This window comes from Homo sapiens, chromosome 19 (assembly GCF_000001405.40).
Source record: "Homo sapiens chromosome 19, GRCh38.p14 Primary Assembly".
Classification (NCBI taxonomy): domain Eukaryota; kingdom Metazoa; phylum Chordata; class Mammalia; order Primates; family Hominidae; genus Homo; species Homo sapiens.
Window position 1 is genome coordinate 15,098,606 of NC_000019.10, and position 16,379 is coordinate 15,114,984.

Sequence of the window (16,379 nt, forward strand, 5' to 3'; positions counted from 1 at the left end):
AATTTCCTCTTCTCGTAAGGCACTAGTCCTACTGGATTAGGACTCACCCTAAAGACGTCATTTTAACGTAATTACCTCTGTCTCTAGCTCCGGGGTATTTCTCCGCCAACTCACCATGACTGCCACAGAAGTGCTGAGCTCTGCCCAAACCTGACCGGTCCCTCCACCTGCATTTTGTCTTTCAACGAATGGGTCTGTATGTGCCTGCGGGTGGTTAACCCACCAGGTACCAAAAGCACAGCGTATCAGGCCTGCAGCCAACGAGAAAGAAAATTGGAGGAAGAAAAATACATACATGTGGGGCTGGGTGTGGCGGCTCATGCCTGTAATCCCAGCACTTTGGGAGGCCAAGGTCGGGGGATCACTTGAGGTCAGGAGTTCAAGACCAGCCTGGCCAATATAGTGAAACCCTGTCTCTACTACAAATACAAAAATTAGCTGGGCGTGGTGGCACAGGCCTGTAAGATCGCACCACTGCACTCCAGACTGGGCGACAGAGAGAGACCCTGAAAAAAAAAATAGAAAAAGAAAAGAAAGGGAAGGGAAAGGGAAGGGAAGGGAAGGGAAGGGAAGGGAAAGGGAAAGGGAAAGGGAAAGGGGAAGGGGAAGGGGAAAGGGAAAGGGAAGGAAAGGAAGGGAAGAAAGAAAGAAGGAAAGAAAGAAGAAAGAAAGAAGGAAAGAAAGAAAGAGAAAGAAAGAAAGGGGAAGGAAGGAAGTAGAGAGAGAGAAAGAAAGAAGGAAGGAAGGAGAGAAAGAAAGAAAGAAAAGGAAGGAAGGAAGGAGAGAGAAAGAAAGAAGAAAGGAAGGAGAGGGAGAAAGAAAGAAAGAAAGAAGGAAGGAAGGAGAAAGAAAGAAAGGAAGGAAGGAAGGAAGAAAGAAAATACATACATGGCCAGGAGCAGTGGCTCACACCTGTAATCCCAGCACTTTGGGAGACCAAAGAGGAAGAGAAGACTCTATCTCCAAATACAGTCACATTCTAAGGGACCGGGAGTTAAGACTTCAACATAGGAATTTGGCAAGGGACTGAAGGGGACATAATTTGGCCCATGGGTGTCCAATCTTTTCATTTCCCTGGACCACATTGGAAGAAGAATTGTCTTGGGCCACACATAAAATACACTAACACTAACAGATAGCTGATGAGCTAAAAATCGCAAAAAAAAAATCTCATAGTGTTTTAAGAAAGTTTACGAATTTGTGTTGGGTCACATTCAAAGCCTTCCTGGGCCACATGCAGCCTGTGGGTGGCGGGTTAAACAAGCTTGATTTAGCCCATAACAGCCACATAGTATGGCTGACCATTTGTGTGACTGACCTTAGCTACTCAGCCTCAAGCCCCTCGAGAGGTCAAACTGACACAGTGAGGCCCAAGGCCTCCACCATAAAACACGTTTTTGGCATAAACTCTCTGGTGTGACCTCCAGGTATACAAAGAGACTCTCATCACACAGGATACTCCACCAGCTTGAAGGCAACTCTTCAGGAGCCAGACAAGGGCTAGACTTTACTTTGGAATGTGCAGGAGAGCCCAGAAGCATGGGAGGAAGGAGGCAGGAGCTAAGCCTGATGTGGGATCTCTGTCAAAGCCCTGCCCACCCAGCCACCTGTCCTCACCTGATCAGCCACCTCTCTGCAGGCTGCTCCTGCTTCCTCTGGTACACCCAGCCTGTAGAGTCTAGGGGGTCCACACCAGCACACCAGGTCTGGGAGCTGGACATCAGATAAGCTTTGTTTAAGAGACAGGGCCTCAGCTGGGCACGGTGGCTCACACCTGTAATCCCAGCACTTTGGGAGGCCAAGGAGGGCAGATAACTTAAGGTCAGGAGTTCTACTAAAAAATACAAAATCTAGCCAGGCATGGTGGTGGGCGCCTGTAATCTCAGCTACTCAGGAGGCTGAGGCAGGAGAATCGCTTGAATCTGGGAGGCGGAGGTTTCAGTGAGCCGAGATTGCGCCACTGCACTTCAGCCTGGGCAACAAGAGTGAAAACCCTGTCTCAAGAAAAAAAAAAAAAGAGAGAGAGAGACGGGGAGAGACAGGGTCTCGCTCTGTTGCCCAGGCTAGAGGCAGTGGTGCAGTCATAGCTCATTGAAGCCTCAAACTCCTGGGCTCAAGTGATCCTCCTGCCTCAGTCTCCAGAATAGCTGAGACTACAGGTGTGAACCACCATGTCCAGCTTGGAGAGCTCTTGGCATGGCTGCAGTGGCCAGTTGCTGAGTCTATCCCTGAGGCTGTGCAGGGGCCTAGCCAGCAGGAAAGCTCCACAGCCTTGCAGCTGATAAACAGAGACCACTCTGGAGGTGGCATGGAGCAACTATGGACCCCTCCTGCACCTCAGTTTCAGCTCTATAGCTGTCTGGCCAGATTTTTCCAAGGGTCAATGGGAGGCTCTGGTCAAGCAATGCTGTACCACTGACTGTCACCCAGGTGAGACTGTGCCCTGCCTCAGGAAGCTGCTTTATGCTAACAGAATTCATAACCATTTCATTATATACAATCATCCCCTCTCCCTCCAGCTCCTGAATGCTACTGTGATGGATATCTCTGGGCAGCCACCCCTTTGCTGGTTCCTCTGAGGTCTGACTTCCAGCCAGGGAGGCCTAGGCAGGCTGAGGTATTCACCTTCTTCTCCTGGAAGATGCCAGATAGACGCAAGCCTCAGGTGTGGAAACAAATGGGAATGACCACAGCGGGTGGAGGAAGCTTGGGTCCTGCTCCCCAAAACCTTCTCTATCTCCCATCCCCCAGGAACTGAGCACCCCAGGGAGCTGGTAGAATGGAGATGTAGCCCCACAGAACCACGCCCCATGCCCATAGCCTTGAAAACAGCCTAATTTATTATTCCCTTTGCACATGAAACAGAGGCCTAGACAGAATGTCTGTGTTTGGAGTCCACCAGAAGCCAACCTTGAGACAAGGATTCAAGTATTTAGGAAATAAACAGGAAATACTGTAAGTGGGGTGGATATGTGGGAGAGGGAAGGGAAGGAAGTCAGCAAAGAGTGTATTGATAACCAGGTTTCTACAGTGGACAGCTGGAGCTCAATCCCGTGGGTGAACACTAGGGGTCAGTGTAGAACATGAACCTCAATCATCCAACACAAGGGTGAGGGAGCTGGGGTATTTATCCATCAATTCCCCTTGACTACCACAGAGGTGCTGAGCTCTGCCCAAAACTGACAGGAAATGGTCTTTTGGTCTTTCAACTAATTGGTCTATATGTGTCTGGGGCTGGTTAATCCACCAGGTACCAAAAGCACAGCACATCAGACCTGCAGCCAATGAGAACATTTAGGGGAAAGAAAACACACACGTGGCCAGGTGCAGTGGCTCACACCTGTAATCCCAGCACTTTGAGAGGCCAAGGAAGAAGGATCGCTTGAGGTCAGGAGTTTGAGACCAGCCTGGGCAACATAGCAAGATCCTGTCTCTACAAAAAAAATTTAAAAGCTAGCTGGGTATGGCAGTGCATGCCTATAGGCCTAGCCACTCAGGAGGCTGAGGCAAGAGGATTGCTTGAACCCAGAAGTTCAAGTCTGCAGTGAGCTATGATCACACCAATGCACACCAGCTTGGGTGACAGAGGGAGATTATGTCTCTAAAAATAATAAGGCCAAGCACGGTGGCTCACACCTGTAATCCCAGCCACTTGGGGGGCCAAAGTGGGAAGATCACTTGAGCCCAGAAGTTTGAGAACAGTCTAGGCAACATGATGAGACCCTATCTCCACAAAAAAATAGAAAAATCAGCCTGTGGCATGGTGGCACATGCCTGTAGTTCCAGTTGCTTGGGAGGCTGAGGCAGGAACATCACTTGAGCCTAGGAGGTTGAGGGTGCAGTGAGTTGTGGTAGTGCCACTGCACTACAGCCTGAGCAACAGAGCAAGAAAAATAAATAAAATAATAATAATAAAGTAAATAAAAATAACATGAAAATAATTTTTAAAAAATTTGAGACAGAGTCTTAGTCACCCAGGCTGGAGTGCAGTGGCACGATCTTGGCTCACTCCAACCTCTACCCTCTGGGTTCAAGCGATTCCCCTGCCTCAGCCTCCCGAGTAGCTGGGATTACAGGTGCCTGCCACCATGCCTAGCTAATTTTTATATTTTTAGTAGAAACGGGGTTTCACCATCTTGGCCAGGCTAGTCTTGAACTCCTGACCTCGTGATCCACCCGCCTCAGCCTCCCAAAGTGCTGGGATTACAGGCATGAGCCACAGTGCCCGGCCATGAAAATAAATTTTTTTAAAAGAAAAGAAAATGGGCCAGGCACGGTGGCTGACCCCTGTAATCTCAGCTCTTTGGGAGGCCAAGGTGGATGGATCACAAGGTCAGGAAATCGAGACCATCCTGGCCAACATGGTGAAACCCCATCTCTACTAAAAATATAAAAATTAGCTGCACGTGGTGGTGTGTGCCTGTAATCCCAGCTACTCAGGAGGCTGAGGCAGCAGCATCGCTTAAACCAGGGAGTCACAGGTTGCAGTAAGCCAAGATCGTGCCACTGCACTCCAGCCTGGGCAACAAAGCAAGACTATGTCTCTATAAAAGAAAAGAAAAGAAAATGTACGCATACAGGCTCTAAAATCTGTACAGCAACTAGCAAAATCCACAGGAATAAGCATACAAACATCATTATGAAACTTAGAATTCATAACCATTTCATTACATACAATTTGCAGATAATCTGTTCTCACTTATGGAAATTTCTGATTGCTAAGAAAGAATCAGAGCCAATGGTGAATTAAATAGGCTACATGCAGGCAAATAAAGACAACAGGAAAAGTACAAAAACTCAAAAAGATTTACACAAAATAATAATAATAAATATTTATGTGGTATGTGGGTGTCATATGGGTGGGGCTAAGGGTTGCTCTCACTCCCATGTCAGACCCCAGCTCCTCTGAGACTCTGAAATACCCCATTGGGACCTTAGTCCTGCAGCCTCTACCCTCAACTTGTAAACAGGTATTGTCTTGACCCCTGACTTCTTTCCCCATTGTCAATAGCTGCCTCAAAGACATCTGCGCAGGGATCTCATAGGGAGGAGGGTGCACTCCACCCTTTTACAGACTGATGCCCCCCAAACACACATATCCAAGAAAAGTGAACAGCACCTAGGAGAACTGTATATCAACAGTTGTATAATGAGTATACCAATATATGCATAATGAGAGTCCCAGAAGGAGAGAAGTGAAAGGAGCAGAAAGAATATTTGATGAGGCTGGGTATGGTGGTTCATGCCTATAATCCCAGCACTTTGGGAGGCCAAGGTGGGCAGATCACTTAAGGTCAGAAATTTGAGACCGGCCTGGCCAACATGACGAAAACCCATCTCTACTAAAAATACAAAAATTAGCTGGGCATGGTGACAGGCACCTGTAACCCCACCTACTTGAGAGGTTGAGGCAGGAGAATCACTTGAACCCAGAAAGCAGAGGTTGCAGTGAGCCAAGACCATGCCTCTGCACTCCAGCCTGGGCAACAGAGTGAGACTCCATCTCAAAAAATAATAATAATAATATTTGATGAAATAATGGCCAAAAAACTTCCCAGAAGCCCAGAATTGATGAAAGACATGAATCTACATATCCACAAAGCTCAACAAACTCCAAGTACAATAAACACAGAGAACCACACAAAGACACATTAAAACCAAACACACACAGCCTCCTCGTCCAGGCCTCTTGGACACCCCCTCCTATACAGACCTCCATCACCTGACACCTGATCTCCTACCTGAATATTCAGCAGTGAACAACATAGACAAGCATCACTTGATCACTTGGTGGAGACCCAGTCTGGACGAGGAGGCAGATAAACTAGAACAAACCACTGGGACTGTTAAATTCAAGTTGTGGCAAGTGTTAGAAGAAAGGAAACTGAGTAATGTGATACTGACTAGACAGAGGTGGTGGACAGAAAGGGTCTCCCTAGAAGGTGCCATTGGACCTAAAGGATGAGAGAGAGGTGGCCTCAGAAGAACCAGGGCTTCCCAGGCAGAAGGAACCATGTGTGCAAAGGACCTGAGGCAGAAATAGCTTGATATGAAGGAGAACCAGAAAGGAGGCCATGGTGAGTGAATGGGACAGCCAAAGAGATGAGGCTGGAAGTCTTGTGAGACCATGCTGGGAATCTGAATTTTATTCTAGGTGAGGTGAGCAGTCATAGGAACACTATTCAGCAGGATGGTGCCACAATCTGATTTCAGTTTTAAGTCCACTGTGGGTAATATATGGAGAATGAAATGTAGGGCTAAGACAGGTTATATTTTCCCAGATGGCCACAATATCTCCCACCCTACATCCACTTGTACAATGTCACCTTGACATGCCTCCCATGTAGAGAGGTATAATCTGTGCCCCCTTTCCTTGAATCTGGTGGCAGAAGTGACACAGCATGACACTCAAGGCTGGGTCAGAAGAGATGCAACTTCTTCCTTGTTCACTTTTAGAGGGCTGGGTGGCTGTCTAAGAAGTCTGACTACCCCAAGACCACCATGCTGGAAGGAAACCCGAACCACACGGAGAGGCCTGTGTAGCTACCCTGGTCCACAGCCCCAGCAACAGCTGGCGTCAGTTGCAAGACCTCTGAGTGAAGACACCTCCAGATGACTCAGGACCCTGCCATTTTTTAGTCACCCTCTAGCCTAAGTCTCCCCTGTCCAAACTGAACCACAGCATCTGTGAGCATCATGTAAACCAAAAGGTATCTCAGATAAGTCTCAATAAATTTAGAAAGCTTATTTTGCCAAGGTTATGGACATGCCTGTGACACAGACTTAGAAGCTCCTGACAACATAAACTAGGGTAGTCAGGGCCACTACCTTGATTCAGGTCTGTAATCCTAGCTACTTGGTAGGCCAAGGCGGGCAGATCACTTGAGACCAGGAGGGTTTTTTGTTTTGTTTTGTTTTTTTGTTTTGTTTTTTTGAGACGGAGTTTCACTCTTGTTGCCCAGGCTGGAATGCAGTGACACAATATTGGCTCCCTGCAACCTCCGCCTCCCGGGTTCAAGAGATTCTCCTGCCTCAGCCTCCCGAGTAGCTGGGATTATAGGCATGCACCACCACCCCCAGCTAATTTTGTGTTTTTAGTAGAGAAGGGGTTTCCCCATGTTGGTCAGGCTGGTCTCGAACTCCCAACCTCAGGTGATCCGCCCGCCTTGGCCTCCCACAGTGCTGGGATTAGAGGCGTGAGCCACCGCACCCAGCCGAGCCCAGGAGTTTGAGACCAGTCTGGGCAACATGATGAGACTCTATCTCTACAAAAAGTAGGGAAATTAGCCAGGTATGGTGACACATGCCTATAGTCCCACTTGCTCGGGAGGCTGAGGCAGGAGCATCACTTGAGCCCAAGAGGCTGAGACTGCAGTGAGCTGTGGTGGTACCACTGCACTCCACCTTGGTCTAGTTTTATATATTTTAGGGAGACATGAGACAGCAATCAATATATGTAAGATGCACATGGGTTTGGTCTGGGAAGGCAGGACAACTCAAAAGTAGGGAGAAGGCTTCCAGGTTATAGGTGGATAAGAGAGAAACAATTGCATTCTTTCGAGTTTCTGACTAGCCTTTCTGAATATGCAATTTACAGAGATAGTCACTTATGCCTTAGTCTGGCTTAGTGAAACAAATAGGTAAGGAAGCGATCAGATATGTGTTTGTCTCATGTGAGCAGAGGGACAATTTTGAGTTCTGCCTGTCCTTCATCCATAAGGAATTTCCTTGTAGGCAAATTGTGGGGGAGGTATGTAGCTTTTTTTTTCTTTTCTTTTCTTCTTTTTTTTTAGACGGCATCTTGCTCTGATGACCAGGCTAGAGTGCAGTGGTGCAATTTTGATTCACTGCAACCTCCACCTCCCGTGTTCAAGCAATTTTCCTGCCTCAGCCTCCCAAATAGCTGGGATTACCAGTGCCCACCCACCATGCCTGGCCAATTTTTTTTCTTTTTCATATTTTTAGTAGAGATGGAGTTTCACCATGTTGGCCAGCCTGGTTTCGAACTCCTGACCTCAAGTGATCCGTCGCCTCAGCCTCCCAAAGTGCTAGGATTACAGGAGTGAGCCACCGCGCCCAGCTAGCTTTTTTAACCTTGTAGCTATCTTACTTAGGAATAGAATGGGAGGCAGGTTTGTCCTACACAGTTACCAGTTTGACTTCTTCCTTTTGGCTCAGTGATTTGGAGGTCTCAAGATTTATTTTCCTTTCACAATCACGACATGGTTGTTTTACATCATTACGTTTGGGGATGGTTTGTCAAACAGCAGTAGTAATTGGAATTTGGAGGTGAGAGAATTGAGTGGGGAAAGAGTGGCATGGGGAGACCAAGGAAGAAGCTTGGGGTGGGGTGGGTAGTGGGGACGGTCATTGAAACGAATGACACTACGGCTTGCACCAGGTTGAAGCAGTACCTGGCAAGGAGAGAGAGGATACGTGGAGGCTGCGATTTGGAGACAGACCCAAGAGAACTTCCTGGATGCCATCACCCAGAGTCCCATCCAGGGAGGGTGGGTGAGGTGGAAGACAAGGGATCGGGCCTGCGCCACGATCGTCACGTCCCATCGAAGCTGGAGCGGATCCGGGCACCCGGAGCCCCCATTCCAACCCCTCCCGGCCCCAGGCAACTACATCTCCCAGCATCGCCCGCTCGGGCCGCGGGAAAGGGGAAAAAAAAAAAAAGTTTGGGCCAAGCATTCCCGGAATGTGCTTCCTGCTGGCGCGGGGCGGGGGGCGGGCGGGGAGGCCCGGGCGGGGCGGGGAGGGCGCGGGGCGGCGCGGCCGGAGCCCGGGGCGCGCACTCGGCTCGGCCCGGCCCGGGCCGCAGCATGGCCGAGCCGCTACTCAGGAAAACCTTCTCCCGCCTGCGGGGCCGGGAGAAACTTCCCCGGAAAAAGTCGGACGCCAAGGAGCGCGGTAAGCGGAGATCGGTGGGGAACAGGGGGCGCCGAGCCCCACCCGGCCTGGGAGCGGGGTCCCAGGGCCCCGAGGACAGACGGTGGGGGGGATCAGGGGGAGCCCCCCGCACCCCGCTGCAGACTGGGGTGCCTCCAGCCAGGGGAGGGTAGGGGTCCTGGAAGGAAGGGGCTGGGAGGGAGGGGGGCGCGGACCGTTATGTGCTGCTGGCCGGGGATGCCAGCGCTGCGGGCTCCTTGGGAGGCCCGGGAGGGGGCCTCGCCCACGACAGGAAATGGGGCCGCGACTGAGGGCCTGGAGGGTGGAGGGGAGGAGGGGCTGGGAGGCCGGGACACTGGGGCCCAGTCGGGCTGGGCAAGGGGCATCGGGAGCCCTGGAGGCGCAGGATGGGAGATGGGAGGCGTACTCCTGCAAAGGAAAGAGAGGGGCGGCCCGTCAATCAGAGTAGCTGCCCCCTCCGCCTCCCACCTACTAACAGTGACGGCAACTGCGCCTGCCTTAGCCCCAGGAAACTGTCCCTTTTATACAGATGGGGAAACTGAGGCACGGAGCAATTGGGTCATGTGCCCAGGGCCATCGACTTAAACAGCTCTTTGGACTATGCTACAAACAGAGACCCTAGAGGGTGGACATCAGAGGTGGCCAGAGGAGGAGTTCAGCAGGGTAGCAAGTAAAAACCTTAGAGAAACAGCTGCGTGGGATAGGGGGACCCAGGAAGGAAGGAGTTAAAGGAGGAAGGCCAGACCATTCCATGGACGTACCCCTTCCCCCCAGGCCTTCCCAAAGATTCCCAATGTTCCCAGGGAAGGGAGAAGGGACAGAGATGCCCAAACACAAACACACACAGGAAACAGCCCAGGACATGAGACAGGAGAGGAGGGAGGGAAGGGGAAGTCCCAAAGCATTGAGCGTGGGGGGTCTGGCCTGGGCTGAGGGACAAGGGCCCATCCCAGGATGGCGACAGAGTTTGGAAGACAGGAGGGAGGGTAAAAGGGGCAGGGGACTGGGAGTGACTGTGCTGCAGGGAATAGAAAACCCAGCTCCTCACTCCTGAGCACGTAGTGCCTGCTGTGGGCTGTATACTTTTCCAAAAGGCTCCTGGAAGCCTCCCTGGACATGGAAATCACATCCCCCCATTTCACAGGAGGATACTGAGCCTCAGAGAGGGAAGCGACTTGCCCAAGGCCACGCAGGTGCAAAGCTCCATGCCACGGTTATTGAGAGGGTAGAGGAAGTGGAGACTGGAACGCAGTACCTACGGGCCCCAGGAAGCCTGACTTAGAACCCTGAGGCTGCAGGGATGGAGTCCCCTTTTGGGATGCCAGGGACTGAGTAGGGGGTGCTCTAAGCTGATAACTGAGATCGCTAGCCTGTGGCTGCCTATTCCAAACAAAACAGCAGGATCCAAGGAACCATGACTTATCAGGGGCCGGCCAGGGCCGTACACAGCATCCCACCCACTGATCAATTGCACAGGGCTGCTCTGCAGGCAGTGAGGGGCTGGGTGGGTCTCACTCCCCTTGCTCTCTGCCAGGCCACCCAGCCCAGCGCCCAGAGCCCAGCCCTCCAGAGCCAGAGCCCCAGGCTCCCGAAGGGTCCCAGGCCGGAGCAGAGGGGCCCTCCAGCCCCGAGGCATCAAGGAGCCCTGCACGGGGAGCCTACCTGCAAAGCCTGGAGCCCAGTAGCCGCCGATGGGTGCTGGGTGGGGCCAAGCCAGCTGAGGACACCTCTTTAGGGCCTGGGGTACCTGGCACTGGGGAGCCCGCCGGCGAGATCTGGTACAACCCCATCCCTGAGGAAGACCCCAGACCTCCAGCACCTGAGCCCCCGGGGCCACAGCCTGGCTCAGCTGAGTCAGAGGGCCTGGCCCCCCAAGGTAAGAACAAGCTTCCCATCCCCTTCCCCAAGGTGAGCACCAGCTCCACATCCCTTCCCTTCAGGGTAGCACCAGCCTCACACTCCCTCCTCCCAGAGGAGCACCAACCTCACACTCCTTCCCTTCAGGGGAGCACCAGCCTCACATCCCCACCCCGTCAGATGCTCCCAGAGGAGCATCAGCCTCACACCCTCCTCCCCGCCAGGGGAACACCAGCCTCACACTCCTTCCCTTCAGGGGAGCACCAGCCTCACCCCCCTCCCCTAAGCCCAGGTTCCTGGACCCTGAAGTCTGCTCTCCACACAGGTGCAGCCCCCGCCAGCCCCCCAACCAAAGCCTCCCGCACCAAGTCCCCGGGCCCCGCCAGGCGCCTCTCCATAAAGATGAAGAAGCTGCCGGAACTGCGGCGCCGCCTGAGCCTGCGAGGCCCCCGGGCTGGCAGGGAGCGCGAGAGGGCTGCCCCTGCGGGCTCCGTCATCAGCCGCTACCACCTGGACAGCAGCGTGGGGGGCCCCGGGCCGGCAGCAGGGCCTGGGGGCACCCGGAGCCCGAGGGCCGGTTACCTCAGCGACGGGGACTCACCGGAGCGCCCAGCTGGGCCCCCATCACCCACCTCCTTCCGGCCCTACGAGGTGGGTCCCGCAGCCCGGGCACCCCCGGCCGCACTCTGGGGCCGCCTCAGCCTGCACCTGTACGGTCTCGGGGGGCTGCGGCCAGCGCCGGGGGCCACCCCCAGGGACCTCTGCTGCCTACTGCAAGTGGATGGGGAGGCCAGGGCCCGAACAGGGCCACTGCGAGGGGGGCCGGACTTCCTGCGGCTGGACCACACCTTCCACCTGGAGCTGGAGGCCGCCAGGCTCCTGCGCGCCCTGGTGCTTGCGTGGGACCCTGGCGTGAGAAGGCACCGGCCCTGTGCCCAGGGCACCGTGCTGCTGCCCACGGTCTTCCGAGGTAGGACATGCGGCTGCAGGGGAGGAGGGGCAGGGACCCCCAAACCCCACCGCCACCCCCCGCAGAGTGCCTAGGGGGCTGGGCTCCGGGCGGAAGGTGTGGCCTGGAGCAGCGAGGCCAGGGTACATGAAGCTTCAGAGCACACCCGGCTCAGGCCCCCTTGTGTCCTCAGGGTGCCAGGCCCAACAGCTGGCCGTGCGCCTGGAGCCTCAGGGGCTGCTGTATGCCAAGCTGACCCTGTCGGAGCAGCAGGAAGCCCCTGCCACAGCTGAGCCCCGCGTCTTTGGGCTGCCCCTGCCACTGCTGGTGGAGCGGGAGCGGCCCCCCGGCCAGGTGCCCCTCATCATCCAGAAGTGCGTTGGGCAGATCGAGCGCCGAGGGCTGCGGGTGAGCACCCACCCCACCCCAACCCTCTGGCCCCCAGACCTCAGACCACTCTTCAGGACACCCTATGTACAGATGCCAGACCCCTACCCCCAGGCCTGAGCCACTCCTAGCTCCAATCCCAACCTAGACAAGGGCAGAAGGCGCCCCCTTGACTGTAGCACCCTGGGCAGAACCCATGGGTCATCCATTGATTTAAAAACAGGATCCAAGCCCTCCTGGGGCTCAGAGTCTGATGGGGGAAAAGATACGACTCTAGTCATTCACAAATGTAAAACTATAACTGGGACTGGAGTTGGGGTGGGGTGTACCTAGGGTCTGGGAGAGCTTAAAACAAAACCTGGGGTAGTCATGGAAAGCCTCCTCAAAGAAGTGTCAGTTTCCTAAGTCAAAGGAGATGGCAGCCAAGACAAGTAGTCCAAGCAGAGGGTTTACAAGGCCAGGTTGTCAAGGTAGTTCCAACCTCCCAGCCCACAATGCCCATTGCTGCCTGGCCCAGAATTCCAGTGCTCACCCCACTGGGCCCTGATTAGTCTGTGGCCCCGGCAAGAAGACATTCACTCTCTCTTCCCACCCCCAGGTAGTGGGACTGTACCGTCTTTGTGGCTCAGCGGCAGTGAAGAAAGAGCTTCGGGATGCCTTTGAGCGGGACAGTGCAGCGGTCTGCCTATCTGAGGACCTGTACCCCGATATCAATGTCATCACTGGTCAGCATGGCCCCCTCTCCCCTGCCTGCTCACCCCCATTCAATGCCTCACTTCAAGGCCTTGGGGCTCCTCTGGGACCTCAGTCCTCCTATCTGACCTTGCTTTCACCCACCTCCTCTTCCCCCTTAGCTGTGCCCTCCTTAGCCTTAGAAGCCAGTGGTGCCCTGACCAGAGGGGACCCTGTGTTCACAGGCATCCTCAAGGATTATCTTCGAGAGTTGCCCACCCCACTCATCACCCAGCCCCTGTATAAGGTGGTACTGGAGGCCATGGCCCGGGACCCCCCAAACAGAGTTCCCCCCACCACTGAGGGCACCCGAGGGCTCCTCAGCTGCCTGCCAGATGTGGAAAGGGTGAGTTGGGCCTGGTGGGAGTGATGGGACTTGAGAGTGGGCTGATACCAATAGAATGTTTCACCCATGCCTGGGCCTGAGATGGGCATGAGCTGGCAGCATCATCATATCCCCAAGAAATAGGTGCTATTAGCATCCCACTTCATAGATTTGGAAACTGAGGCCCAAAGCAGGTGACAGTTGCCCAAGGTCACACAGCCAGGATGTGTCAAAAATGCAGGCTGAACGCTGATCTTTCAACCTACAAGGGAGGTTCCTGGCTGAGGGAACCTAGACAAGTCCCATCCCTCTCTGTGCTTCAATATCTTCATCTGTAAAATGAGATTCATGGCAGCTCTGCTTTTCCAATGCTTAGTTGCCTTTGGCTTCAGTCTTCCCTCCAACAAAATAGGCTCATAATACTAACATCTAATGATTAATAGTCTTAACCCGACCACATCCCAGCTATGAGACTGTGAACCTGCTTCCCTACTCTAGCCACCTTAGTCTCTTGCAGGTAGGTGCCACAGGGGCCTGACTTTGTCTGACTTACATCCTCTCAACCCTCTCCCAGGCCACGCTGACGCTTCTCCTGGACCACCTGCGCCTCGTCTCCTCCTTCCATGCCTACAACCGCATGACCCCACAGAACTTGGCCGTGTGCTTCGGGCCTGTGCTGCTGCCGGCACGCCAGGCGCCCACAAGGCCTCGTGCCCGCAGCTCCGGCCCAGGCCTTGCCAGTGCAGTGGACTTCAAGCACCACATCGAGGTGCTGCACTACCTGCTGCAGTCTTGGCCAGGTGAGTTCATGCCCAGGGCCTGCACCACCAATCTGAGCCAGGCTGCTACAGTGATGCCACCTTAAGGGACCAATCAGTGTCTTAGGCTTGAAGCTACGCCCCCTCATGGAGTAAACTGGTACCTGGTTGCCTCAGCAACCAGTTCAGATCCAACCAATCTGTCTGTTTTGTCTTTTTTTATTTTCATTTTTTTGTAAAGACAGGGTTTCTCTATATTGCCCAAGCTGGTCTCAAACGCATGATCTCAAGCCATCCTTCCGCCTCAGCCTCCCAAAGTACTGGGATTATAAACCAAATCACCTTGCCCCACAGAGCTGATTCATCTTTTTATTTTTATTTTTTATTTTTTTTGAGATGGAGTCTTGCTCTCTAGCCCAGGCTGGGGTGTGGTGGCATGATCTCAGCTCACTGCAACCTCTGCCTCCCAGGTTCAAGGGATTCTCCCACCTCAGCCTCCCGAGTAGCTGGGATTATAGGCACGCACCACCAGTCCTGGCTAATTTTTATATTTTAAGTAGAGCAGGGTTTCACTGTGTTGGCCAGGCTGGTCTTGAACTCCTGACCTCAAGTGATCCACCCATTTCAGGCCTCTCAAAGTGCTGGGATTACAGGCATGCACTACCAATCCTAGCTAATTTTTGTATTTTTAGTGGAGATGGGGCTTCACGGTGTTGGCCAGGCTGGTCTTGAACTCCTGACCTCAAGTGATCCGCCTGCCTCAGGCCTCCCAAAGTGCTGGGATTACAGGCATGATCCAGGCATGATCCACAGACCTGCCCCTACCCATCTTTGATGCAGTCAGAGGCCCTGCCTCTTGACATGCCAATCAGAGGCCTAGTTGCGTAAGCAACCAGTCCTAGCTCTGCCAGTGAAAACCTGAAAGGGTCGAAGGCCGCTTTCCACAGGCCAATCAGGAGCCTAGTTCCCTAAGCAGCCAATCAGAGGTCGGCTGTCGCCTCTTTCTATGACCTACCCTGTCTCCCTTCAGATCCCCGCCTGCCCCGACAATCTCCAGATGTCGCGCCTTACTTGCGACCCAAACGACAGCCACCTCTGCACCTGCCGCTGGCAGACCCCGAAGTGGTGACTCGGCCCCGCGGTCGAGGAGGCCCCGAAAGCCCCCCGAGCAACCGCTACGCCGGCGACTGGAGCGTTTGCGGGCGGGACTTCCTGCCCTGTGGGCGGGATTTCCTGTCCGGGCCAGACTACGACCACGTGACGGGCAGTGACAGCGAGGACGAGGACGAGGAGGTCGGCGAGCCGAGGGTCACCGGTGACTTCGAAGACGACTTCGATGCGCCCTTCAACCCGCACCTGAATCTCAAAGACTTCGACGCCCTCATCCTGGATCTGGAGAGAGAGCTCTCCAAGCAAATCAACGTGTGCCTCTGAGCCAGATGACGGGGTGGGACCCCGGTTAGTAAGGACCGGGCGCCCAGTGGCTAAGGCGGTGCCCTGGTGACCAAGGAGAGCCAGACCTGTTGCTCAGGCCGAGCTCCTGGTTGCCAGCGAGTTACCACGGGACCAGTCGCGTGTATGGCTGAGACTCATTCCCAGTTTCCAGGGCCCGGTATTTGGACACTAGTTGCCAAGTCTGGGGCCTGGGGATTTTAGGGACCAGCGGTTGTGACCATCTTTCCTGAGCACCAAGGGCTTCCCCTTTTGTTGCCAAAAAGGTAGTTCTCGCGCTTGCTAGGCTGGCCTCTCTTGCCTCCCCTTGGCCGGGGCAACACCAGTTACTGTGAGCATCACCCTGGTGTGGTGAGTCACCTCTAGTCGGCCCTCTTGCTGCTGCCAACCAAATCAGTATTAGCTTTGAGCACTGCACTGTTTCTCCCTCCCTTGGACGACACAAAGACTAGCATGAGGCACTGTTTGTGGGGGGCAGCCCCTATCCTGGGTTCCAGCATGGACACAGGGGTAGCCTGGGGCTTATAGAGAAACAGCTGGTTTCCCCTACCCTTTTCCGGGGAAGTCCCCACGATTGGCCTCTAGTCAGCAAATGGAGATAACAGAGTCTGGCCTTTCCAATCCCCATCTCCTTGCCCCCCCCTTGCCCCCCCCCCCGAAAAAAATTGAGCACTTAAACCCCTCCCTTTTGGAGGGGGCCCCCTGAAGCGTCAGGCTGGGGGCAGTCTGGTACGGAACATATTTATTGCCTCCATGCATGTGTGTGTGTGTCTGTGAGGACTGGTGTGCGTGGACACGTCTGAAGCAGGCGTGTGGGGCTCTTTCAGGGACCACAGAGGAGGGAGCAGTTTGCAGTGCCCAGCCACCCTGAAATCCCCAATAATGGTGCCTCAGTGGGCCCCAGAGTTCCAGTGGGAGAGTACGGTTCCCTCCTGTCTCCCTCTTCTTTTCCGCACCTCCATCTTTGTGGATAATAAATAAATATGCACAGGTTCTGAGACTG

General features: G+C 54.0%; 1 protein-coding gene across 6 annotated transcripts, besides 3 other annotated features; it reads left to right on the top strand.

The window, feature by feature from the left end:
- Positions 1–8,795: 8,795 nt before the first annotated feature.
- On the top strand, positions 8,796–16,369 carry SYDE1 (synapse defective Rho GTPase activating protein 1). 6 transcript variants are annotated; one of them, NM_033025.6, is made up of 8 exons: positions 8,796–8,916; positions 10,451–10,792; positions 11,099–11,743; positions 11,916–12,130; positions 12,708–12,834; positions 13,027–13,187; positions 13,741–13,966; positions 14,955–16,369. In NM_033025.6, the coding sequence occupies exons 1-8, from the start codon at positions 8,829–8,831 to the stop codon at positions 15,356–15,358; spliced, it is 2,208 nt and encodes a 735-aa protein (NP_149014.3). In that variant the 5' UTR covers positions 8,796–8,828; the 3' UTR covers positions 15,359–16,369. The 6 variants fall into 6 exon arrangements, with proteins under 6 accessions (NP_149014.3, NP_001287839.1, XP_047295535.1 ...); NM_001300910.2 differs by having other exon boundaries at positions 10,652–10,792; XM_047439579.1 differs by having other exon boundaries at positions 10,451–11,743.
- Positions 10,482–11,032: an enhancer, noted in NCBI's record as "H3K4me1 hESC enhancer chr19:15219898-15220448 (GRCh37/hg19 assembly coordinates)". NCBI's record gives its function as "activates a minimal SCP1, AML or CMV promoter by ChIP-STARR-seq in naive H9 embryonic stem cells {active_cell/tissue: H9 hESC(naive)}" and the evidence as "EXISTENCE:reporter gene assay evidence [ECO:0000049][PMID:30033119]".
- Positions 13,307–13,834: an enhancer, noted in NCBI's record as "H3K4me1 hESC enhancer chr19:15222723-15223250 (GRCh37/hg19 assembly coordinates)". NCBI's record gives its function as "activates a minimal SCP1, AML or CMV promoter by ChIP-STARR-seq in primed H9 embryonic stem cells {active_cell/tissue: H9 hESC(primed)}" and the evidence as "EXISTENCE:reporter gene assay evidence [ECO:0000049][PMID:30033119]".
- Positions 13,835–14,360: an enhancer, noted in NCBI's record as "H3K4me1 hESC enhancer chr19:15223251-15223776 (GRCh37/hg19 assembly coordinates)". NCBI's record gives its function as "activates a minimal SCP1, AML or CMV promoter by ChIP-STARR-seq in naive H9 embryonic stem cells {active_cell/tissue: H9 hESC(naive)}" and the evidence as "EXISTENCE:reporter gene assay evidence [ECO:0000049][PMID:30033119]".
- Positions 16,370–16,379: the final 10 nt, after the last annotated feature.

Coding starts and splice junctions, on each gene's coding strand:
- SYDE1 (XM_047439579.1), top strand. CDS start 8,829: ATGGCCGAGCCGCTACTCAGGAAAACCTTCTCCCGCCTGCGGGGCCGG. Junction 11,744..11,915: donor GCTGCCCACGGTCTTCCGAG/GTAGGACATGCG, acceptor TTGTGTCCTCAG/GGTGCCAGGCCCAACAGCTG. Junction 13,967..14,954: donor CCTGCTGCAGTCTTGGCCAG/GTGAGTTCATGC, acceptor GTCTCCCTTCAG/ATCCCCGCCTGCCCCGACAA.